This window comes from Homo sapiens, chromosome 7, assembly GCF_000001405.40.
Source record: "Homo sapiens chromosome 7, GRCh38.p14 Primary Assembly".
Classification (NCBI taxonomy): Eukaryota; Metazoa; Chordata; class Mammalia; order Primates; family Hominidae; genus Homo; species Homo sapiens.
The window spans coordinates 6,727,454-6,751,622 of NC_000007.14; the positions used below are offsets into that span (position 1 = coordinate 6,727,454).

The 24,169-nt window shown below is 48.2% G+C and overlaps 1 pseudogene across 1 annotated transcript, besides 4 other annotated features; it reads left to right on the forward strand.

Moving 5' to 3' along the window:
- Nucleotides 1,171-2,146: an enhancer, noted in NCBI's record as "H3K27ac-H3K4me1 hESC enhancer chr7:6768255-6769230 (GRCh37/hg19 assembly coordinates)". NCBI's record gives its function as "activates a minimal SCP1, AML or CMV promoter by ChIP-STARR-seq in naive H9 embryonic stem cells {active_cell/tissue: H9 hESC(naive)}" and the evidence as "EXISTENCE:reporter gene assay evidence [ECO:0000049][PMID:30033119]".
- Nucleotides 2,198-2,407: an enhancer, noted in NCBI's record as "active region_25634". NCBI's record gives its function as "activates an Ori minimal core promoter by ATAC-STARR-seq in GM12878 lymphoblastoid cells {active_cell/tissue: GM12878}" and the evidence as "EXISTENCE:reporter gene assay evidence [ECO:0000049][PMID:35858748]".
- Nucleotides 2,558-2,667: a silencer, noted in NCBI's record as "silent region_17958". NCBI's record gives its function as "represses an Ori minimal core promoter by ATAC-STARR-seq in GM12878 lymphoblastoid cells {active_cell/tissue: GM12878}" and the evidence as "EXISTENCE:reporter gene assay evidence [ECO:0000049][PMID:35858748]".
- Nucleotides 3,078-3,127: a silencer, noted in NCBI's record as "silent region_17959". NCBI's record gives its function as "represses an Ori minimal core promoter by ATAC-STARR-seq in GM12878 lymphoblastoid cells {active_cell/tissue: GM12878}" and the evidence as "EXISTENCE:reporter gene assay evidence [ECO:0000049][PMID:35858748]".
- On the forward strand, nt 7,852-24,148 carry PMS2CL (PMS2 C-terminal like (pseudogene); annotated as a pseudogene). The gene is made up of 6 exons (NR_002217.1): nt 7,852-7,936; nt 9,623-10,483; nt 14,232-14,399; nt 18,635-18,735; nt 19,583-19,752; nt 23,796-24,148. The product of NR_002217.1 is annotated as a PMS2 C-terminal like (pseudogene) (transcript).
- Nucleotides 24,149-24,169: the final 21 nt, after the last annotated feature.

Consider the following 24,169-nt stretch of genomic DNA (forward strand, 5'->3'; position numbering starts at 1 on the left):
TTCACCATGTTGGCCAGGATGTTCTTAATATCCTGACCTCATGATCCACCCACTTCGGCCTCCCAAACTGCTGGGATTACAGGCATGAGCCACTGTTCCTGGCCTCAGAAGAATTTATTTTTAGTCTTTTCCTTACCAGTTTTTATGAAACAACTGGGCAAGAACACTGTTAGATTTCACCAAAAAGTTGTGATGAATCATTGTCCTTATATCCCATTTTTGAAAACTGACATTTTAATTGTAAAGCAAAAATAAAATTCTAAGCCTCCACAGCTGTTGAGTGGACTCCCCTGTTGGCCAGCAGGATCCAAAATAAACATGAAGAACTAATTCAGGTCATGACGGGAAGGAGGGGGTCGGACATGCCTTGTCATACTCTCCTCCCTTCAGAGTTTAGGCACAGCTGACCAACATTAACACTAGACTACAGATCATAAGACTGACAGAACAGGCTCTTTGTGTCAGTAAGATACCCAACTCCAACCAGACTCTGATATAGCATCACGTGACAGATAGCAGTCCCTGAAGGAAATCATAGTATTTTACCCCATAATATATTTTCTTTGTCACACTTTAAAATAGTCCTGCAAAGCCATCTCTTTGGGGGAAATTTGCATTCTGTAGAGAATCTCCTTCCCTTACAGAAAAGAATCCAGGTCTTTTCTCGAGATTCTGACACCTTTTAAGATCCAATAAGAGATATTTATCATCTATTCTCTCTGAAGCCTGTTCTGAGGCTTCATCTACATAACAAGAACCTTGGTTTCCACAATGCCCCTTATCTTAACTCAAGCTTTTCTTTTCTTTTCTTTCCCTCCCTCTTTCTTTTCCCTCCCTCCCTCCCTCCCTTCCTTCCTCCCTTCCTCTCTCTCTCTTTCTTTTCTTCTCTGTTGCCCAAACTGGAGTGCAGTGGCACCATCATGGCTCACTGTAGCCTCAACTTCCCAGGCTCAAGCGATCCTCCCATCTCAGCCTCCTAAGTAGCTGAGACTACAGGCATGCACCACCACACCTGGATAATTTTTTTTTTTTTTTTTGTAGAGATGGGGGTCTTGCTGTGTTGCCCAGGCTGTCCTTGAACTCCTGGCCTCAAGGGATCCTCCCAGGTCACCCTCCCAAAATGCTGGGATTACAGGCAAGAGCCACCGCAATGGCCCATTTCTTTACGTCATCTTCCAACTGTTCAGCCAACACTTAACTCTGAATCAACTGCCAATCTTTGAATCTGCTAGTGACCTGAAAGCCTTTCCAGGCTGACCCAATGTGTACATCCCATGTATTGATTTATGTCTTTGCCTGTAACTGCTGTCTCCCTAAGATGTATAAAACCAAGCTGTAACCCAACCACTTTGGGCTCACGTTCTCAGGACCCCCTGAGGCTGTGTCACCAGCCATGGTCACTCAAATAGGAGGCCCAGAATAAAACTCTTTACAAACTTTGAGTCTTTTTGGTCAACATAACCTAACCCTAAACATAATCCTCCTGGGGAAGGTGAAATCACAGGTATCTTTTCTTTGTTCGATTTGTGTATTTCCTGATTTCTCTACAGTTTTTAGGCATTTGCTGTGTGATCTAGAAAAGCTACAGAGTCTCGCTCCGTCGCCAGGCTGGAGTGCAGGGGCGCGAGCTCGGCTCACTGGAACCTCCGCCTCCCGGGTTCAAGCGATTCTCTTGCCTCAGCCTCCGGAGTAGCTGGGATTACAGGCACGCGCCACCACGCCCAGCTAATTTTCGTATTTTTAGTAGAGACGGGGTTTCACCATGTTGGCGAGGATGGTCTCTATCTCTTGACCTCGCGAGCTGCCCTCCTCGGCCTCCCAAAGTCCTGGGATTACAGGCGTGAGCCACCGCGCCCGGCCACAAATTCTATTTTCTTTCTCTTCCTTGGAAAGCATCGCTGGGCATTTATCCTGTCCTAGTATTTGAGTGAAACTTCTCTTAGCATTTCAGCGCAGTGACCACGATACACCCTTTCCTTTCCTTCTCGTTATGGGAAACTCGGTTCTAACCTGGAGGCCTTGGGCTCCAGGACCCAGTCACTGCAGCCCTGGACTTGACCCTAAAAGGGAATAAAGACAAATGCGAAGTTCAGTCCGGGGATCAGGGCTGCCGAAGCTCATATAGCCTGGGGCTTCTTAACCTTTAGACGGGGTAGAGACATTTGAAATGGCCCCTAAAGTTGGGGGGCGCTGGTAGGCTCATGGGAAATAGAGTCCGGCCCTTGTCCTGGGACCAACGGTGGGCCCTGGGAGGCGGACTTCCGGTGAACTCCTGCGCGTGTGCGCCTCTCCCTGGGTGCGTGTTCGCACATGCGCGCTGCCGCCGCACTGCCATCGCTTCCTGTGTGTCCTCAGGTCACCGCTTGCTCTAGTTCCCAGGCTTTGGCCCCCAGTGGACGAGAATCGCTGAGCCTGCGGGGCTGGACGCTGAGCGCCTAGGCCAGCACCTAGGCGGGCGCGGAGCTATGTGGGCCAGGGTTCGCACGGGCCGGGTGGAGGCTTGAGCGGGGACCCCCGAGCGTGAGCCCCTGAGCCGGCGGCCCTGCGGCCAGGGGAACCGGGCGGGAGGTGGCGAAGGTGGCAGCGGAGGCGGAGGCGAAGGGGCGGCGGGAACCGGGCCTGGCCCGTGTGTGTCCTGGGGGCCTGGCCCAGGCCGCCGCTGTACGGTGAGTCCCAGGGAGGCGGATCTGGGCCCCGGGAAGGACACCCTCCTGGATTTGCCCCGTAGGCCCGGCCCGGGCCCCTCAGGAGCAGAACAGCCTTGGTGAGGTGGACAAGAGGGGACCTCGCGAGCAGACGCGCGCCAGCGACAGCAGCCCCGCCCCGGCCTCTGGGGAGCCCCAGGAGGGTAAGTCTTTGGGTTTTCGGGCCCGGAGCGAGAAAGGCCTGGGTGAAGTCACCGTATGTTCGGGACCTTAGAGTATGAGGCGGGGGAGGGTCCGATCGCTTGCAGGAGAGGCGTGTGTTTGGCCTTGAGGCGCTGCACGGGAATATCTGGGAGGACGAGGCTTACGGGGGCGTGGAGGGTATCACCAGCCTCAGCTGCAGACGTCGTCTCCACTCCCCACTAACCCCTAACAGCCCTTCCTCCTCCTTTCCGTGCTCCAGATTTCGACCGCCTCTAAACGTCCGTCAGCATCTCTGTTCTCTCATTTAAGTGTCTGCTGATTCCCCCCTTAGATCTGCCCTGGAGACTGGTAGTAATGCAGGAACAGTCTGCAGGGATTCTCTCTTGCTGCCTCAGTTGCTAGGGGAAGAGACTGGGCCTTAGCAGGTGGGTGACTTGACCGGGTCACTGGCTTTGTGGGTAGAGTTGCTCATAGTAGAACTCAGGAGTCTTATCTCCCAGGCCAGTGTTCTTTCTCCCGTATCCTAGTTTTCTTAGTAGAAGGTTATTAGGTGCAGCAATAACCAAGTTCAGTTAGATAATTTAGAAACAAAACCATATTTTATACACATTCATTTCATTTCTGAGAGCTCACATACTCAATTCCTATGGTTTCTTTGATTTTAAGCAGTTTAAAGAGACAATAAGAAAATGCGGGCCGGATGCAGTGGCTCACACCTGTAATCCCAGCACTTTGCCGGGCTACAGCAAGAGTATCCCTTGAGACCAGGAGTTAAAGAACAGCCTAGGCAACATAGGGAGACCCTGACTCTACAAAAAATACAAAAGTAGCCAGGCATGCTGGGATGCACCTGTGGTCCCAACTACTCAGGAGGCTGAGGTGGGAAGATCAATGGAGCCCAGGAGGTGGAGGCTGCAGTGAGCTGTGAATGTACCACTGCACTCCAGCCTGGGTGGCAGATTGAGACCCTGTCTCAACAAACAAACAAACCACAAAAAACATGAGCCGTATAATGGGAATTTTTTTTTTCTTTTTGCGGGTTGTATTTGATGATGGCAGACTATTTGTAAAAGAAGTCATGTTACCCATGAGAGTCTTAACTCATCTAATTACTACCTGATTATCTTAGAGTTACAAAGTTACAAGTGCATGCTTCCCTTATCAGTCTTTTTTTTTTTTTTTTTTTTTTGAGACAGTGTCTCTCACCCAGTCTGGAGTGCAGCAGCGTGGTCTCGGCTGACTGCAACCTCCACCTCCCAGGTTCAAAGGATTCTTGTGCCTCAGCCTCCTGAGTAGCTGGGACTACAGGCATGTGACACTGCGCCTGGCTAATTTTTTTGTTATTTTTAAGTAGAGACGGGATTTCGCCATGTTGGCCAAGGCAGGTGGATCACTTGAGGCCAGAATTTGAGACCAGCCTGGCCAACATGGCGAAACCCTGTATCACTCTTTTAGGCCCTTCTGAGTGTTTGCAGGCTGAGTGTTCACAGGGTGTTAGCCTATTGAGCTTTCTTTTGTGGTTCTTACGCAGGAGATTCCTGCCTTTGCAGGCCAGAGCACTCATGACTTCAGTGACCTGCTTCTCCCCCTCTAGGTCTACCAGCCACAGTCTCTGCACGTTTCCAAGAGCAGCAGAAAATGAACACATTGCAGGTGAGTTTTCATGCTTGTGTATATGTTCCTCAACTTTATTTTATGATGCATTTTAAGAGGTTTGTAAGGATTCCTACTTTTTTTTTTCTTTTTTTTTGGGATGGAGTCTTGCTCTGTTGCCCAGGCTGCAGTGCAGTGGCATGATCTCGCTTCACTGCAACCTCCACCTCCTGGGTTCAAGCGATTCTCCTGCCTCAGCCTCCCGAGTAGCTGGGATTACAGGCGTGTGCCACCATGCCCAACTAATTTTTTGTATTTTTAGAAGAGACAGGGTTTCACCATGTTGGCCAGGCTGGTCTCAAACTCCTGACCTCAGGTGATCCTCCCGCCTCAGCCTCCCAAAGTGCTGGGATTACAGGCATGAGCCACCGCGCCCAGCCAGGATTCATACTTTAAAATGGGAATGTGGAAATAGACATTGTCCTGTAAAATATAGTGTGGCAGATCAGCACCAAAAATGATTTGTGAAGCTTGTGTGTGTGGATAGTAGATTTTAAGGCTGTTGAAATTGAGCCACACCCAGGACTGATATTCTTGGCAGTCATCACAAAAGGAAAATGCCATCTGTATTAGTCCATTCTCACACTGCTGTAGAGAAATAACCAAGACTGGGTCATGTATAAAGAAAAGAGGTTTAATTGGCTCACGCCTGCAGGCTCTATCATAGGAAGCATGGCTGGGGAGGCCTCAGGAAACTTACAGTCATGGTGGAAGGCAAAGGGAAAGCGGGTACATCTTCCATCACCAGAGCAGGAGGAAGAGGGAGAGGGAGGCGCTACACACTTTTAAACAACCACGTCTTGTGATAAGTCACTGAGTGTCAGGAGAACAGCACCAAAAGGGAAATTGCCCCCATGATCCAATCACCTCCCACCAGGCCCCACCTCCAACATTGGGGATTACAATTGAACATGAGATTTGGTTGGCGACACAAACCGAAACCATATCACCATCCATGACATCGCTTGCATTCATTATAAGGAGAAACCAATTTTGTTACTTGTGGATTTAAGAGATTTTCTAGGACTTTGAAAACTTTCTTCATTCCAGTTGATACAATTGCGGATAGGCTTCCTAATAACAACCATTAAATTACCGTAACTTACGGCGTATTCTTGGTGCTTATGTAAGCAGAGGGCCTGCCTGCTGCCCAAGGAGAACTTGGTGCCTATAATTTTTCCAGGGACGGAAATATTGTGATCCCAGTAGACAGAATTCTGTTTTTACTGTTGAGTCCTAGATCATGGGGGGAATGAATGACTTGATCATCCTTCAAATATTTGTTCGTCTTTCTGTTTGGGTTGCACAGCAAACAATACAAACAGTTACTCTCTTTTGAAGATTTCCTCATTTCTGTTTCTCATTTCAGTTCTCAGTGTTTTAGTTTTGTCCTTTTCACGTTGCTGAGTCAGTCTGTAAAGATTACCAATGATTTCATTGCAGTCGAATCCAGCGGGCATTTTCTAGCCCCTACCTCCCAGGACCCTTTGTCTGCCTTTGACATCTGTTACTTCCAAACTGATACTTTCTCCATGGAGTCTCTCTTTTCTTGGCTTTTAAAAAGATTCGTCTGTAAGTATTTCTGCTTGTCTTTAAATGATGAAGTCTGTTTTGTTCTGTTTTGTTCTGTTTCTTTTTTCCTTTTTTTGAGATAGGGTCTTGCTGTGTCACCCAGGCTGGAGTGTAGAGACGTGATCACAACTCACTGCAGCCTCAATCTCTTGGGCTCACACGATCCTCCTGCCTCAGCCTCCTGCACAGCTACAGGCGCACGCTGCCACACCCGGCTAATTTTTTTTGTATTTTAGTAGAGACTGGGTTTCACCGTGTCACCCAGGCTGGTCTTGAACTCCTGAGCTCAGGCAGAGCTCAGGCAATCTGCCCGCCTCGGCCTCCCAAAGTGCTAGGATTACAGGCGTGAGCCACTGCTCCTGGCCTAGAGATGTATTCTCACTGTATTGCTCAGGCTGGTCTCAAACTCCTGGTCTAAGTGATCCTTTCACTTTGGCCTCCCAGAGTGCTAGGATTACAGGTGTAAGCCACCACACCTGGCCAATAAGGAATCTTATGTGATGGATTAATAATTATTAATTATAACTATTAATAATGTGATATTTAGGTTTATTTCTAATTACATTTTAATGTCATAAATACTTTTCTATGTACATTGAATGTGTTTTATGAACATTTAAGCTGTGCCCGCATTTCACTAGAATTTCTCGGAGAGCAACTTTAGGTTGGAAAAAGACTCAGTTTTAGGAATCTATGATTAGAGAAATACAACTTTGTTTTTTGTTTTTTTTTTCCCGGGGTCTCGCTCTGTCGCCCAGGCTGGAGCGCAGTGGCGCCATCTCGGCTCACTGCAAGCTCCGTCTCCTGGGTTCATGTAATTCTCCTGCCTTAGCCTCCCGAGTAGCTGGGACTACAGGCGCCCGCCACCACGCCCGGCTCATTTTTTGTATTATTTTTAGTAGAGATGGGGTTTGACTGTGGTAGCCGGGATGGTCTCGATCTCCTGACCTTGGGATCCGCCCGCCTCGGCCTCCCAAAGCGCTGGGATTTCAGGCATGAGCCACCGCGCCCGGCCGAGAAATAACACTTTGAGAGTTGTGAGGAAACTTTTGGTGATGGATATATTCATTATCTTGATTGTGGGGATAGTTTCACAGGTGTTTGTGTATATGTCAAAACTTATGAAATTGCACACTTTAAATATGTGTAGTTTATTCCATGTTAGTCATATCTCAGTAAAGCTGTTAAAAAATGTATCCTTAGGCCAGGTGTAGTGGCTCACGCCTATAATCCTAGCACTTTGGGAGCCCGAGGCGGGCAGATCAGCTGAGGTCAGGAGTTCGAGACCAGCCTGGCCAACGTGGTGAAACCCCGTCTCTACTAAAAATACAAAAATTATCTGGTCGTGGTGGCATGTGCCTGTGATCCCAGCTACTTTGGAGGCTGAGTCAGGATAATCACTTGAGCCCTGGAGGCGGAGGTTGCAGTGAGCCAAGATCGCGCCATTACACTCCAGTCTGGGTAACAAGAGCGAGACTCCGTCTCAAAAAAAAAAAAAAAGAAAAAAAGAAAAAAAAAAAGTCCTGCCTGTAGTCCAAGCTACATGGCAGGCTGAGGCAGGCGGATCACTTGAACCTGGGAGGTTGAGGCTGCAGTGAGCCATGATTGCTCCACTGCACTCCAGGCTGTGACAAGGCGAGACCTTGTCTCAAAAAAAAAACCAAAAAAGTATCCCCTTCTAAGAACATGCTGGTTGGTTAGAATAGTATGTTGTTAGAATGCAGGGGGTCGGAAACATTTGTCATTTTTTCTTTTCTACTCCTTGTATTTTGTGCAGGTCTGCAGACTCGTGAATGACGTCTACCGCGTGTATAATCGACACCAGTATCCATTTGTTGTTCTTAACATTTCTGTTGATTCAGGTAAGTTCCATTGGCATTTCAGTACAACTAGTGACTAATGCCTCAAAGAATAAAATGAAATTCTACAACTCTGCTATGACTGGAATGAGATAACAATTTATGGTCATGTAAGTTTTTTTTTTTCTTTTTGAGACGGGGTCTTGCTCAGGGTTTCACCGTCCACGCCCTGTAATCCCAGCATTTTGGGAGGCTGAGGTGAACGGATAAGTTAAGATCAGGATTTCAAGACCAGCCTGGCCAACATGGCAAAACCCCGTCTCTACTAAAAATATAAAAAATTAGCCGGGTGTGGTGGCGGGCACCTGTAGTCCCAGCTACTCGGGAGGCTGAGGCAGGAGAATGGTGTGAACCCGGGAGGCGGAGCTTACAGTGAGCCAAGATCGTGCCACTGCACTCCAGCCCGGGTGACAGAGGGAGACTCTGTCTCAGAAACACAGACACACAAACAAACAAAAACCAAAACAGTATAGTTTAATCTGTTTTTAATTTGAAGTTATTCAGTCTGTCCTTTTCTGTGATTTCTTTCTTTCTCTCATTATTTTGTTTGTGAGATTCATCCAAGTCATGCGGCAAAATTCATTTTTTTGTTCGCTATACAGTGTTCCGTTATAGTCAGATATCATAATTTGTGAATATTTGAATTGTTTCCAGTTTCGGGCTATAATGAAGAATGCCGTCATGAACATCCTCATCCACGTCTTTTGACGAGCATAGAGATAGACACTTCTTTTTTTTTTTTTTTTTGAGAGGGAGTCTCACTCTGTCACCCAGGCTGGAGTGCAGTGGAGTGATCTTGGCTCACTGCAACCCCTGCCTTCCAGGTTCAAGTGATTCTCCTGCCTCATTCTCATTCTCCCTAGTAGCTGGGATTATAAGTGCATTCCACTATGCCCTGCTGATTTTTCTTGTATTTTTAGTAGAGACGAGGTTTCAGCATGTTGGTCAGGCTGGTCTTGAACTCCTGACCTCAAAGAGCTAGGATTACAGGCATTAGCCACTGTGCCGGCCGATAGGCACTTCTGATAGGAGTAGCTATGCTGGGTTGCAGGTGTGCATACATTCAGATTTAGGAGGTATTCCCAGAGAACTTTTCAAAGCAGCTGTACCAGGTTCATTCCTACCAGAGGTATTCAAGCATTCCGCTTGATCCTGATCTTTGTGAGCATTTGTTGTTTTTTTAATTTTACCCATTCTGGTGAGTATATGGCCATATCGCATTGTGTTGGGTTTGTTTTTTTTTTTTTTTTTTTTTTTGAGACAGAGTGTTGCTCTGTCACCCAGGCTGGAGAGCAGTGGTGGCATCTTGGCTCACTGCAACCTCTGCCTCCCGGGCTAAAGGGATTCTTGTGCCTCAGCCTCCCAAGTAGCTGGGATGACAGATGTGCCACCACACCCGGCTAATTTTTGTATTTTTAGTAGAAACAGGGTTTTGCCATGTTGTCCAGACCGGTCCTGAACTCCTATCTTCATGTGATCCCCCTGCCTTGGCCTCCTAAAGTGCTGGGATAACAGGCGTGAGCCACCACACCTGGCCCATATTATAGTTTTATTTTGAACATTGAACCGTGTTCATCTGTGTAATTAGCATGTGGATCTCCTCTTTTGTGAAGTATCTGTTCACATAAGCACGTCCTCTCACCATTTCAGGATAGTCCCTGACCCTCTTCTCCGTCCACGTTTGCTTAGGTAACTTAATAAAAATGCATGCAGCGGATTTGGAAAAGCCCATGGTAGAAAAGCAGGATCAATCCCCTTCATTAAGGACTGGAGAAGAAAAAAGGGACGTGTCCATTTCCAGACTGCGAGAGGCCTTTTCTCTTCGTCACACAACAGAGAACAAGCCTCACAGCCCAAAGACTCCAGAACCAAGAAGGAGCCCTCTAGGACAGAAAAGGGGTATGTCGTCTTCTAGCACTTCAGATGCCATCTCTGACAAAGGCGTCCTGAGACCTCAGAAAGAGGCAGTGAGTTCCAGTCAGGGACCCAGTGACCCTACGGACAGAGCGGAGGTGGAGAAGGACTCGGGGCATGGCAGCACTTCCGTGGATTCTGAGGGGTTCAGCATCCCAGACACGGGCAGTCACTGCAGCAGCGAGTGTGTGGCCAGCACCCCAGGGGACAGGGGCTCGCAGGAACATGTGGACTCTCAGGAGAAAGCGCCTGAAACTGACGACTCTTTTTCAGATGTGGACTGCCATTCAAACCAGGAAGATACCGGATGTAAATTTCAGGTTTTGCCTCAGCCAACTAATCTCACATCCCCAAACACAAAAGTGTTTTAAGAAAGAAGAAATTCTTTCCAATTCTGACATTCGTCAAAAGTTAGTAAATACTCAGAACGTGTCAGCTTCTCAGGTTGATGTAGCTGTGAAAATTAATAAGAAAGTTGTGCCCCTGAACTTTTCTGAGTTCTTTAGCTAAACGAATAAAGCAGTTACATCATGAAGCACAGCAAAGTGAAGGGGAACAGAATTACAGGAAGTTTAGGGCAAGGATTTGTCCTGGAGAAAATCAAGCAGCCGAAGATGAACTAAGAAAAGAGATAAGGTAAAGTTTTAATTTTTTACTTTTTATTTTAAATTTGTATTTATTTTTATTTTTTATTTTTTTGAGACAGAATCTTGCTCTGTGCACAGGCTGGAATGCAGTGGCACAATCTTGGCTCACTGCAGCCTCCACCTCCTGGGTTCAAGCGATTCTCCTGCTTCAGCCTCCTGAGTAGCTGGGATTATAGGTGCACGCCACCATGCCTGGCTAATTTTTATATTTTTGGTGGAAACAGGGTTTCACCATGTTGGCTGGGCTGGTCTCGAACTCCTGACTTCAGGTGATCCAGCCATCTTGGCCTCCCAAAGTGTTGGGATTACAGGTGTGAGCCACCACACCCGGCCAGGTAAAGTTTTTTCTTAAGAGTATTTTGAGGCTAGGTGTGGTGGCTCACGCCTGTAATCCCAGCATTTTGGGAGGCCAAACCGTGGAGGGAGGATCACTTGAGCCCAGGAGTTCAAGACCAGCCTGGACAACATAGGGAGACCTCGTCTCTACAATAAAATTGGCTGGGCGCGGTAGTGCGCAGTTGTAATTCCGGCATCTGCGCCTGGCCAGATCCTGTTCTCTGTGGCAGGACACAGACTCCAAACACATGGAAGACTTGGGTCTTTTAGGCCAGCACCAGCTTTTGAGCAGATTATCTATGTACTGGGAACCAGGGCATATTCAGACAATTCCCGGGAGAGCCTGGGATCGGCGCCAGGGGAGGTGGTATTTGTGCTGGCATCTGGGATGCTTCTGGGATGTTCTTTTCCTTCCCTCCTGTGCGGCAGGAGTTCCTGTGTCATCACTCACTCTGGCAGCTTCTCTCCATCCAGCAGGCTGCGGCCACTCCTGCTCCAAGGAGGTCTGAAACTCAGCCTGAGTGGGTAGGAGCCTCTTACAAGAGTTCCTTTTCTGCTGGGCATGGTGGCTCATGCCTGTAATCCCAGCACTTTGGGAGGCTGAGGTGGGTGGATCACCTGAGGTTGGGAGTTCGAGACCAGGCTGACCAACATGGAGAAACCTTTTCTCTACTAAAAATGCAAAATTAGTGGGATATGGTGGTGCATGCCTGTAATCCCAGCTACTTGGGAGGCTGAGGCAGGAGAATTGCTTGAACCCGGGAGGTGGAGGTTGTGGTGAGCCAAGATTGCACCATTGCACTCCAGCCTGGGCAACAAGAGCGAACTCCATCTCAAAAAAAAAAAAAAAGAAAAAAGAGTTCCTTTTCTGAGGACTCTCCCTCTTCCCTAGGGTAGTAGCATTTTCCATTCCTGTATTTCTTAGCATAGTAGTTAACCACCTTTTGCTAGTTTGTGTAATGCTTTATTATACATTTTTCCTCCTCAGGCCTAGCATGGTGGTGCACACCTTGTAATTCCAGCACTTTGGGAGGCTGAGGCAGGAGAATCACTTGAGGCTAGGAGTTTGAGACCAGCCTGGGCAATATAATGAGACCCCATCTCTAAAAAAAAAAAAAAAAAAGTTAGCTAAGTACACTGCTGCACGCCTGTAGTCCCAGGTACTCAGGGGGCTGAGGCAGGAGGCTCACTTGAGCCCAGGAGTTTGAGGCTGCAGTGAGCTATGATCATGCCATTGCACTTCAGCCTGGGTGACAGAGCAAGACCCTGTCTTAAAAAAAAAAAAAAAATCCCTGTTAAAATCACTGGTGTGGTTTTTGTCTCTTGATTGATTGCACTTTGCCTGATATGGAATCAGTACCAGGAAACAGACCCTCAAAGATAGGATTTGGGGATTGGTTTGGTTATGACTTGGATTTGAGCTCTGTGTGGAGCCCCTCACCATAGGAAATGTGGGCTCAGTAATCCATGCCATGTGGAGGTCTCACAGTTCACCAAACTGTCCCCTGTGGTTGATTGTGATGGTGACGAGCATGGTGGCATGGGACCGGGTCTTCCTGGAGCACTTATAGAAAGAAACAACAATATCAGCTCCTTTCTCTTTTTTTTGAGACAAGAGTCTCACTCTTTCACCCAGGCTGGAGTGCACTGGCACGATCTCAGCTCATTGCAACCTCTGCCTCCCGGGTTCAAACGATTCTTCTGCCTTCGTTTCCCAAGTAGCTGGGAGTACAGGTGTCCACCACCACGCCTGGCTAATTTTTTTATTTTTAGTAGAGATGGGGTTTCACCATGTTGGCCAGGCTGGTCTTGAACTCCCAACCTCAAATGATCTGCCCACCTTGTCTTCCCAAAGTGCTGGGATTACATTATAGCTCCTTTCATCCTCAGCTCAGACCACCAGGTGAGAACCAGAAAACGTCCATGGCTGCTTTAACAGAGCCATTTCTTGTCGTCACCGCGCTGATACTGCGGAAAATCCATTTTCACCGGATTTAATTGTGTGGAACTGAGAATGACAGTGTCAATTTCTCGTGTGAAGGTTAGCGGTGGTGTCTGTCTTTTGTCCAGATTGACTAAGTTAGTATTTAATGACATTGGATGTTGAAGCCACCCAGCAAAGGACCCAGTGGTGGGCCTGGCAAAGATGAGAAGGATTGATATCCAGCATTGGCAGAAAGGTGCTCTTACACACCATTGGTGGGAGTGTGACTTTTCACAGATTTCCCGTCAAAAAGTACATATGTAGTTCTACCTGTAGCGTCTGTCTCACGGAAATGCACCCACAGATGAGTAGGTTTATGCACAGAAGTATTTGTTGCAGCTTTGAGTGCACTATTGAAATTGGAAACAACCGAAATGTCCTTTAGCAGGGGATTTGTCAGACAAGTTATGGTACATCCATGCAATGAATTCCTATGTGGCCATTAAAAAGAATGAAGTAGGGCGGGTGCGGTGGCTCACGCCTGTAATCCCAGCACTTTGGGAGGCCGAGGCAGGTGGATCACTTGAGGTCGGGAGTTCAAGACCAGCCTAGCCAACATGGTGAAACCTTGTCTCTACTAAAAATAAAAAAATTAGCCGGGCTTGGCGGTGCATGCCTGTAGTCCCAGCTACTCGGGAGGCTGAGGCAGGAGAATCGCTCGAACCTGGGAGGCGCAGGTTGCAGTGAGCCACGGTCGCGCCACTGCAGTCCAGCCTGGGCAACAGAGAGAGAGACTCCGTCTTAAAAGAAAAAAAAAAGAAAAAAATAATGAAGTAGATCTATGTGTACAGGTCTAAAAACGTCTTTCAGATGCATTAAGTGATGACAGAATGGAGAATTAAGATTCCATTTTTGTTTTTTAAAATTAAAAAAATTATATATAGAGACAAGGGTCTAGAAGGATATATTCCATTTAAATCGTTAATAGTAGCAACTGATGTCTTCTCCGGAGAGTTGGATGAATGAATAATTAATGTTATCTTTAGAAAGTGGGATGGTTAAGCCGAACGCAGTGGCTCACGCCTGTAATCCCAGCACTTTGGGAGGCCAAGGCGGGCAGATCATGAGGTCAGGAGTTCGAGACCAGCCTGACCAACATGGTGGAACTCTGTCTCTACTAAAAATACAGAAGTTAGCTGGGCATGGTGGCGCACCTGTAATCCCAGCTACTCAGGAGGCTGAGGCAGAAGAATCACTCGAACCCGGGAGGTGGAGGTTGCAGTGAGCCAAGATTGTGCCATTGCACTGTAGCCTGGGTGACAGAACGGGACTCTGTTTCAAAAAAAAAGAAAGCGGGATGGCTAGGGACTTTATTTTGTTTTTGTATTGTTTGACTTTTTTTTATTACAGTGTTCTATAACATAATCAGAAAAATAATCTTGTAAAATGTCTGATAATTAACATTTTCTACCTGCAGTAAAACGATGTTTGCAGAAATGGAAATCATTGGTCAGTTTAACCTGGGATTTATAATAACCAAACTGAATGAGGATATCTTCATAGTGGACCAGCATGCCACGGACGAGAAGTATAACTTCGAGATGCTGCAGCAGCACACCGTGCTCCAGGGGCAGAGGCTCATAGCGTGAGTGTGTTTAGTGTTCATTCCCAGACTCCCCCTCAAATTGAAGATCTAATAGAGGCCGAGGCAGGAGGATCACAAGAGGCCAGGAGTTTGAGACCAGCCTGGACAACACAGCAAGACCTTGTATCTACTTTAAAAAAGAAGAGATCTAGGAAGGAGGGGTGTAAAAAATAAAAAAGATCTAGTTGGCCAGGTGCGGTGCCTCACACCTGTAATCCCAGCACTTTGGGAGGCCGAGGCAGGCAGATCACCTGAGGTCAGGAGTTGGAGACCAGCCTGGCCAACGTGGTGAAACCCCGCCTCTACTAAAAATACAAAAAGGCCAGGCACGGTGGCTCACGCCTGTAATCCCGGCACTTTGGGAGGCCGAGGTGGGCAGATCACTTCAGGTCGGGAGTTCGAGACCAGCCTGACCAACATGGTGAGACCTGTCTCTACTAAAAATACAAAATTAGCCAGGCGTGGTGGCAGGCGCCTGTAGTCCCAGCTACTTGGGAGGCTGAGGCAGGAGAATCGCTTGAACCCGGGAGGCGGAGTTTGCAGCGAGCCGAGTTCGTGCCATCGCACTCCAGCCTGGGCAACAAGAGTGAAACTCCGTCTCAAAAAATAATAATAATGATAAAAAATAAAAATACAAAAAATTAGCTGGGCATGGCAGTGCACGCCTGTAATTCCAGCTACTCAGGAGACTGAGGTAGGAGAATCGCTTGAACCTGGGAGACAGAGGTTGCAGTGAGCCGAGATCGCACCACTGCACTCCAGCCTGGGTGACAGAGCGAGATTCTATCTCAAAAAAAAAAAGAGACCTAATAGTTTATATGTGTGTCTATATGTATATATGTAATTTTCCATAAGTATTCATATAGCAGATTTTTATACTTTTTACATAATAATAGTGATAGTTACCATTTATTTAATGCCTAGAATCTGCCAGGCACTGTTGAAATAATGTATGTGTATTAGTTCCTTTAATCCTCAAAAACCTGTCAGGTTGTTACTGTTACCATCACCATTCCACAAGCGATAAAACTGAGGCACATGCAGAGAGGTTGAGTAACCTGCCCCAGTTCACGTGGTTAACATGTTCTCTAAGTATCAGACCTTTTTTGCTATTAAAAATGTTGATCACTGGTTAGCCAGAAGATCCTTCTGATGAGGGCAATTGATAGTATGGAGTATTAGTATGCATAGTGTATGGAATGTGTGTGTTCAGAAAGACAGACAGCCTGTGCGCCAGTGTTGATTGACAGTAGAGTAATCAGAAGTCAGATAGTCACTGCAGGTTGGATGCAGGGGCACACGCCTGTAATCCCAGAGCTTTGGGAGGCTGAGGCAGGCAGATCCCTCGAGCTTAGGAGTTTGAGACCAGCCTGGGCATCATGGTGAAACCTTGTCTCTACAACAAATGTAAAAAATTAGTCAGACTTCATGGTGTATGCCTGTGGTCCCAGCTATTCGGGAGGCTGAGGTGGGAGGATCGTTTGAGCCCAGGAGATTGAGGCTGCCATGATCGTGCCACTGCACAGCTCTCCAGCCTGGGTGACAGAGTGAGACAGTGAGACTCTGTCTCACAAATAAATTAATAAATAAAATAAAATAAAATTTAAAAATTATTTTAAGATAGTCACTGCAGAATTTGGTATTTCTCTCTCCTCGGCCAAGCTGGAATGTTTTACTCTGACTACTTCACAAAGGTCAGATGTGATAGTATCATGTAAAACCAAAGTCTTGTCTTCAGCAAAGTTATAAGAAGAGGTCATGGATTTTCGTGTGGGAAATTAAACAACGTAGTGAAGTAAACTCAGATCCCAACAAGTAGATCCCACATGGAGAAATGTACCACTGAACCTGTGTAGTTTGCTGAGTACTCTCCTGTGTAGTTTGCTGAGTACTCTCCTGTGTAGTTTACTGAGTACTCTCCTGTGTAGTTTGCTGAGTACTCTCCTGTGTAGTTTACTGAGTACTCTCCTGTGTAGTTTGCTGAGTACTCTCCTGTGTAGTTTGCTGAGTACTCTCCTGTGTAGTTTGCTGAGTACTCTCCTGTGGAATGCGTGAATTGTTTTTATTCTCAGTAGGAGGCAATGGTAATAATAGACATTTAGTAAGCTACTTTATATCCCTTCCCTGTTCCTCTTAATAGAGGTTTTTTGTTTTTGTGTTTTTGAGACAGAGTTTCACTCTTTCGCCCATACTGGAGTGCAGTGATGTGATCTCGGCTTACTGCAACCTCTGCCTCTCGGGTTCAAGTGATTCTCCTGCCTCAGCCTCCCGAGTAGCTGGGATTACAGGCACCCGCCACCACACCTGGCTAATTTTTGGATTTTTAATAGATAGGGAGTTTTGCCATGTTTGTCAGGCTGGTCTTGAACTCCTGACCTCAGGTGATCCACCAACCTCAGCCTCCCAAAGTGCTGGGATTACAGGCGTGAGCCACCATGCCCGGCTGAGGTCTTGTATTTTTTAGCCATTCGGCAAAGATAACCTCTCATCTGTGACATTTCAAGTTGGCCCAGGTAATCACAGACCACTTAGGGTCCCAGATGGACCACACTTCAAGATTAAAGGATAAAGACCCAGTTCCACCCTGCCCTGCCAGCCCCTGTGTAGGGTGGCCCTGTTGACCTCTGTAGCTTTTCCCGTTCGTCTTCCCCTTGTTCCCTGTACTCAAGCCTCTCTGGCTGTCTTTCTTTTTCCCTTGGCAGGCCTGATGAATCCCTATGTGGCCACTAAGCAGAATGAAGGATATCTTTATGTGTGGCTCTGCAAACATCAGCGGTCCATCCTGGGGCTTGGCACAGATTGTTGTCCCTGTCTAGAATACTTGTCCTGCACCCTGCACCCACTTCTCCCCCGTTACCTGATTAACTCTCTTATCCCCGGACTCAGCTCAAAGGTCACTTCCTGACCCCAGGGTGAAGTCTCTCTATGACACTGGCTGCTTTTTCTTCCTGACCTTCCTGTCGTTTCTCATCATAATCGACTTGCCTGAGTATTTGCTCAACGTCTTTCTTCCCCGGTAATCTGTTGGCTCCAGGACCAAGCCTGTGTTTGCTCACCAGCTGTCTCCTGCCTTGAGCAGTGTTTGTCTTATCCAGCACTCAGGACCAGATGCAGTGGCTCACACTCGTAATCCCAGCACTTTGGGAGGCTGAAGTGGAAGGATCGCTTGAGCCCAGGAGTTTGAGAGCAGCCTGGGCAACATAGTGAGACCCTGTCTCTATCTTTGAAAAAAATAACGAAAGGTTAAAAAAAAAAAGCACTCAGTAAATCCAGGAGGAGAGAAGGATGGAGATATAATACAGGGAGAGGAAGGAACAGGATAGCAAAATAAATGCTGTCTGTTCATTCTGTTTACAAATGCTGGCAATGACCTAACCCAGTGTTTCAAATTCTCTATTAGAAGGAGAAAAAATAGCATTTTTGTGATACTGTTATCCTTAAGGAAAGGATTCAGAAAAAGTGGGAGTCATTGGCGTGGCAGGCTGAGGAAAAAGCAAACTACTTTTGTAGCTACTTTAACTTTTTTTTTTTTTTTTGAGTCAGAGTCTTGCCCTGTTGCCCAGGCTGGAGTGCAGTGGTGTGATCTTGGCTCACTGCAACCTCCACCTCCTGGGTTCAAGCAATTCTAGTGCCTCAGCCTCCCGAGTAGCTGGGATTACAGGCATGAGCCACCACTTCCAGCTAATTTTTGTTTTTGTGGGTGTTTTTTTTTTTTTTTTTTTTTTTTTTTGAGACAGAGTCTTGTTGTGTCGCCCAGGCTGGAGTACAGTGGCGTGATCTTGGCTCTCACTACAACCTCTGCCTCCCTCCTGGGTTCAAACGAATCTCATGCCTAAGCCTCCCAAGTAGCTGGGACTACAGGCGTGCGCCACCATGCCTGGCCTAATTTTTATATTTTTAGTAGAGAGAGGGTTTCGCCGTGTTGACCAGGCTGATCTCAAACTCCTGGCCTCAAGAGATCTGCCTGCCTCAGCCTCCTAAAGTGCTGAGATTACAGGCGTGAGCCACCGCACCTGGCCTGTAGCTATTTTAACTTCTAAAAAGAACTTTAAGAAAGAGAAAATTAAAAGGAACTTCTCAGGAAGTTTTGTGACACTTAGCTGAATTATGTTGTTATTCGTGTTGTTATTTTGACATGAATTCAAAATACAGTATTGTTGTTTTCATTTCATTTCTGCTGTAAAGCTAAATGTTTGACTTCAGGATATGGTTTGAATCATTTTTGTGTTTTTCAGACCTCAGACTCTCAACTTAACTGCTGTTAATGAAGCTGTTCTGATAGAAAATCTGGAAATATTTAGAAAGAATGGCTTCGATTTTGTTATCGATGAAAATGGTAAGTTATTAATTAGAACTATAGCGGCTGGGTGTGGTGGCTCACGTCTGTAATCCCAGCACTCTGGGAGGCCAAGGCGGGCAGATCGCCTGAGGTCAGGAGTTTGAGACCAGCCTCGCTAACATGGTGAAACCCCATCTCTACTGAAAATACAAAAAGTAGCCGGGCCTGGTGGCGGGTGCCTGTAATCCCAGCTACTCAGGAGGCTGAGGTGGGAGAATCGCTTGAACCCGGGAGGTGGAGGTTGCAGTGAGCCGAGATCACGTCACTGCACTCCAGCCTGGGCAACAAGAGTGAAACTCTGTCTCAAAAAAAAAAAAAAAAATTAGAACTATAGATTCTTGTCTTTTTAGAGCTGGGAATAATCTTTCAGGTCATATAGACTGTTTTTTTTTTATTTTATAAAAGATTAAAAAGGTTCCCCCAAAAAGCATTTTGTGACTGTCCTCTCTTTCAGATGTTCACTATTTTTTTTTTTTTTCTTTGAGATGGAGTCTTGCTCTGTCACCCAGGCTGGAGCACAGTGGTGTGATCTCGGCTCACTGCAAGCTCCGCCTCCCAGGTTCACACCGTTCTCCTGCCTCAGCCTCCCGAGTAGCTGGGACTACAGGTGCCTGCCACCACACCCAGCTAATTTTTTCTATTTTTTAGTAGAGACGGGGTTTCACCATGTTAGCCAGGATGGTCTCTATCTCCTGACCTCATGATCTGCCTGCCTTGGCCTCCCAAAGTGCAGGGATTATAGGCATGAGCCACCACGCCCGGCCTCAGATGTTCATCCTAAGTAGCTTTCAAGTGAAACGTGTTTGTCAAGTCATGGATTTTTCTCAAAATTGTATTCTTTTAGCTCCAGTCACTGAAAGGGCTAAACTGATTTCCTTGCCAACTAGTAAAAGCTGGACCTTCGGACCCCAGGACGTCGATGAACTGATCTTCATGCTGAGCGACAGCCCTGGGGTCATGTGCCGGCCTTCCCGAGTCAAGCAGATGTTTGCCTCCAGAGCCTGCCGGAAGTCGGTAAGTAAAGAAAGCCTGGCTGTCAGCTCAGCTGCTCAAGCTTGCAGTCGAGGAAGGTCTCAGCCCAGCTCCTGATTTGGTCAAGGTTGTAAACGCCTTTGTGATTGCCAGGGGTCATTTTACACAGAGAGCTACGTGCAGCGTCGTAGCTGAGCATCTGTGTCGTCTGTGTTCTCTGTGACCTTGAACTCATAATTATTGCTCTTTTGTTACCTCTGTTAAGCAGTATTCTTGGCCGGGCATGGTGGCTCAAGCCTCTAATCCCAGCACTTTGGGAAGCTGAGGCGGGCGGATCACGAGTTCAGGAGATCGAGACCATCCTGGCTAACATGGTGAAAGCCCGTCTCTACTAAAAATACAAAAAAATTAGCCGGGCGTGGTGTCGGGCGCCTATAGTCCCAGCTACTCGGGAGGCTGAGGCAGGAGAATGGCGTGAACCCAGAAGGCGGAAGTTGCAGTGAGCCAAGTTCATACCACTGCACTCCAACCTGGGCGACAGAGCGAGACTCCGTCTCAAAAAAACAAAAAAAACCCAGAATTCTTCTTTTTTTTTTTTTAGACAGATTCTCCCTCTGTCCCCCAGGCTGGAGTGCAGTGGCACAATCACAGCTCACTGCAGCCTTGACGTACCAGGCTGAAGCGATCCTCCTCTCTCTGTCTCCCAAGTAGTTGTGACCACAGGCATGCACCACCATGCCCAGCTAATTTTTAAATTTTTTGTAGAAACATGGTCTCCTTTTGCCCCTTGTCTCAGCCTCCCAAAGTGCTGGAATTACAGGCATGAGCCACTGTGCCTGGCCCGGCCAGTATTCTATCTCCGAGCTTTGGTTGACTCCAACGCAGTTAGCGTTTGAGGTACCTTGTTCGTCTATGGACCTTATGGGTCATAACAACATTGGGAGATAAAGATTTGCTGCTGCCAGGACTCGGCGACATTGGACACGATTCTGCAGAGTCATCGAGGCAGCAGGTGCTTCACGGGGTGCCGTGGTTGTCATTGCACGTGGCGTCACTGCCGCTGCTTCGGTTGGTGTGGGAAGGTGGCAGCAGTGGTTCTGCCTGCAGTGGGGATTAGCCTGATTTCCAAGAAAAGTGACTGTGTATCAGCTGGCCACTGGGAAGGGCCAGGACGCCATTCCTTTATTTATTCAGCAGGTGCTCCTTGAGCCCCTGATGTGGGGCCCGCCCTGCTCCAGGTGCTCGGGACACAGAGGTAACAAGGCGGCTGCAGCCCCTGCCCCTGTGGAGCAGACAGTGGGGAGAAATAGGCATCACCACAAATAAATGACACGCATTAGATGCCAGTAAGCACAGTCAAGAGATTCAAACAGCATTTTTCTTTGTCTGTTTTTGAGACGGAGTCTCGCTCTGTTACTAGGCTGGAGTGCAGTGATGTGATCTCAGCTCACTGCAACCTCCGCCTCCCAGGTTCAAGCGATTCTCCTGCCTCAGCCTCCCAAGTAGCTGGGACTACAGGCACCCACCACACCTGGCTAATTTTTATATTTTTAATAGAGACGGGGTTTCACCATGTTGGTCAGGCTGGTGTTGATCTCCTGACTCATGATCTGCCCGCCTTGGCCTCCCAAAGTGCTGGGATTACAGGCGTGAGCCACCGCACCTGGCCTAAAACAGCGTTTTGGGGCAGGAAATGACAAGAGAAAAACATGGTGACCAGGTGAGATGGTGGTCAGGGAATGGCATCTGGGCAGGTGGCATCTCAGCTGCCATCTAAAAGGTGGGATGGAAGCCAGGCATGGTGGCTCACACGTGTAATCCCAGCATTTTGGGAGGCCAAGGCAGGAGGATTGCTTGAGGCCAGGAGTTAAGAGACCAGCCTGGGCAACACAGGCAGACCCCATGTGTACAAAAAATTAAAAGATTAGCCAGGTGTGGTGGCATGTGCCTGTAGTCACAGCTACTCAGGAGGCTGAGGTGGGAGGATCACTTGAGCCAGGGAGGTCGAGGTTACAATGAGCCAACATCACGCAACTGCACTCCAGCCTGGGTGACAGAGTAAGACCTTGTCTCAAAAAAAAAAAAAAAAAGGTAGAATGGAGCCCTCTTGGGTAAGAACTTTCCAAGCGAAGGAAGTAGCAAGACTGAAGCCAGAGGCTGATTGTGTCCCTGGAGAGGGGAAGGGAGTGAGCAGAGCGGCGTCCAGAGGACAGCCACGTAGAGTGTTGCCGGTCATACCTAGACCCTGGGGGTCTGTGCTGTGTGTGGCACGAGCCACTGGAGAGAACAGACGGGAAGGAGTCCCGTGATTGCAGCTGCTGGAGAGAGAACAGACTGGAAGGGGTGCGGTGGCTGCGGCCGCTGGGGAGAGCAGCAGCTGGGGGCCACGTGGGGAGTGGGTGGGATGGAGCCTGCTGTGTGAGCTTCAGGTGTAATTTACAGCCATGAGATTAGATGAAATGACTCAAGGGCAGAGTTTAATTAGAAGAGGGCCCAGAGTCTGACTTCTAGCCACAGTGTTTCTTGGATAAAGACCTAATAGGGGCTGGGCGTGGTGGCTCACACCTGTAATCCCAGCACTTTGGAAGGCGGAGGTGGGTTGATCACCTGAGGTCAGGAATTTGAGACCAGCTTGGCCAACATGGTGAAACCCCATCCCTACTAAAAGTACGAAAATTAGCTGGGCATGGTGGTGGGCGCCTGTAATCCCAGCTACTCGGGAGGCTGAAGCGGGAGAATTGCTTGAATCTGGGAGGCGGAGTTGCAGTGAGCTGAGATCGCACCATTGCATTCCAGCCTGGGAGACAGAGTCTCTCCACCACCCCTGACCTCACCAAAATAAAAGACATAATATGGATCTTCCAGTCTTGGAGTCTGTGAGTGAGAGCGTGGAGCTGAGCTCATAGCCGGGCAGTTTTGATGTCCTGAGTTTAGTGTGACTCAGTGGCCCGGGGAACCACAGGCTGCTCCTTCCCTCTCGCCCTGGCCTACCCGTCCATCTCCGGTGTTGTCACTGCCTGCCCAGGAGGCTCCTGCTTTGAGCCCTGCCCACCCTTCCAGCCCCATCTCCCCACCATGTAGCTTCCAGCCATGTAGCTGCCTTCCAGTTCCACGCTCGCCTCAGTCTCCTCCCTGCCTTACACCCTTTCTCCCTACTCTCCTCTCTACCTGGGTTTGCCACCGTCACCCTTCACCCCATCCCCACACCTGAGCAGGCCGCCTCGCCTGGGTGCCACCTGTCTTGGTTCTCTGTTGACTTGTTGATTGTCTGTCCTTCTCCAACCTGCTGTCACCCCAGCCTTCTGACTGTGCTTGGCACATGGCGAGCCCTCAGGGTGCTGCAGGAAGAAAGAAGGTGACATTGGGCTTCAGGCTTGTGTCCTCTCCTTCCTGTCAGAGGACCCATGGCAGGGAGGCAGCAGGGCCAGGGCTGGAGTGCTATGGGCAGCAGGTCGGAGCTCGACAGAGGGGGAGTGACGCCTGCACCCATTGGGGGAGAGGGTCCCGGGAGTGCCACAGTCCCAAGGCAGGTGTTTGCGTGATGGGCCTGTGCAAGAGGAAGGGAGTAGCAGTGCAGCTGGGGTGAGGAAGGGAGGCATTCGTGCTTGGAGGTGGGGGTGCAGGCACAGCCCAGCGAGGGCCAAGTCAGGGGACAGACGGGGGCTTTTATTCAGGTGAGGGGGAGAGCTGTGAAGTGGAATGAATAACCTGACAGCCCTTTAAAAGTAATCACTGGCTGCTGAGTGGAGAGCGGCTCGGAGGGGTCGCAGTGGGGCAGGGAGGCCTGCTGGGAGGCTGCTGCACCTGCCAGGGTGAGAGGGCAGGGTGGCTGCTGAGACAGGTGTGGTCGGCGTCTGGAGTGGAGGCGGTGCCACCTTGAAGGAGCCACAAGGAGCCTGATTTCACAGAAGGGTGGAGGGCTGAGATCTAGAACCTAGGCTTCTCTGGGGGAAGGTTTTTCAGGGAAGGTAGTTTTTGAGCTGTAATCTTGTCCAGCCTTATTTTAGAGAAGAATGCTTCTGAAGAGCTGCCATTCTGACGTCAAAAAACTACTAAAACGTTGAACCATTGTGTCTCACACTCAGGTGATGATTGGGACTGCTCTTAACACAAGCGAGATGAAGAAACTGATCACCCACATGGGGGAGATGGACCACCCCTGGAACTGTCCCCATGGAAGGCCAACCATGAGACACATCGCCAACCTGGGTGTCATTTCTCAGAACTGACCGTAGTCACTGTATGGAATAATTGGTTTTATCGCAGATTTTTATGTTTTGAAAGACAGAGTCTTCACTAACCTTTTTTGTTTTAAAATGAAACCTGCTACTTAAAAAAAATACACATCACACCCATTTAAAAGTGATCTTGAGAACCTTTTCAAACCAGATGGAGCATTGCTTGCAAATTTTTTTTCTCTATGTTTGCATGCGCTCGTGTGTGTGTGTCCAGGCAAGAA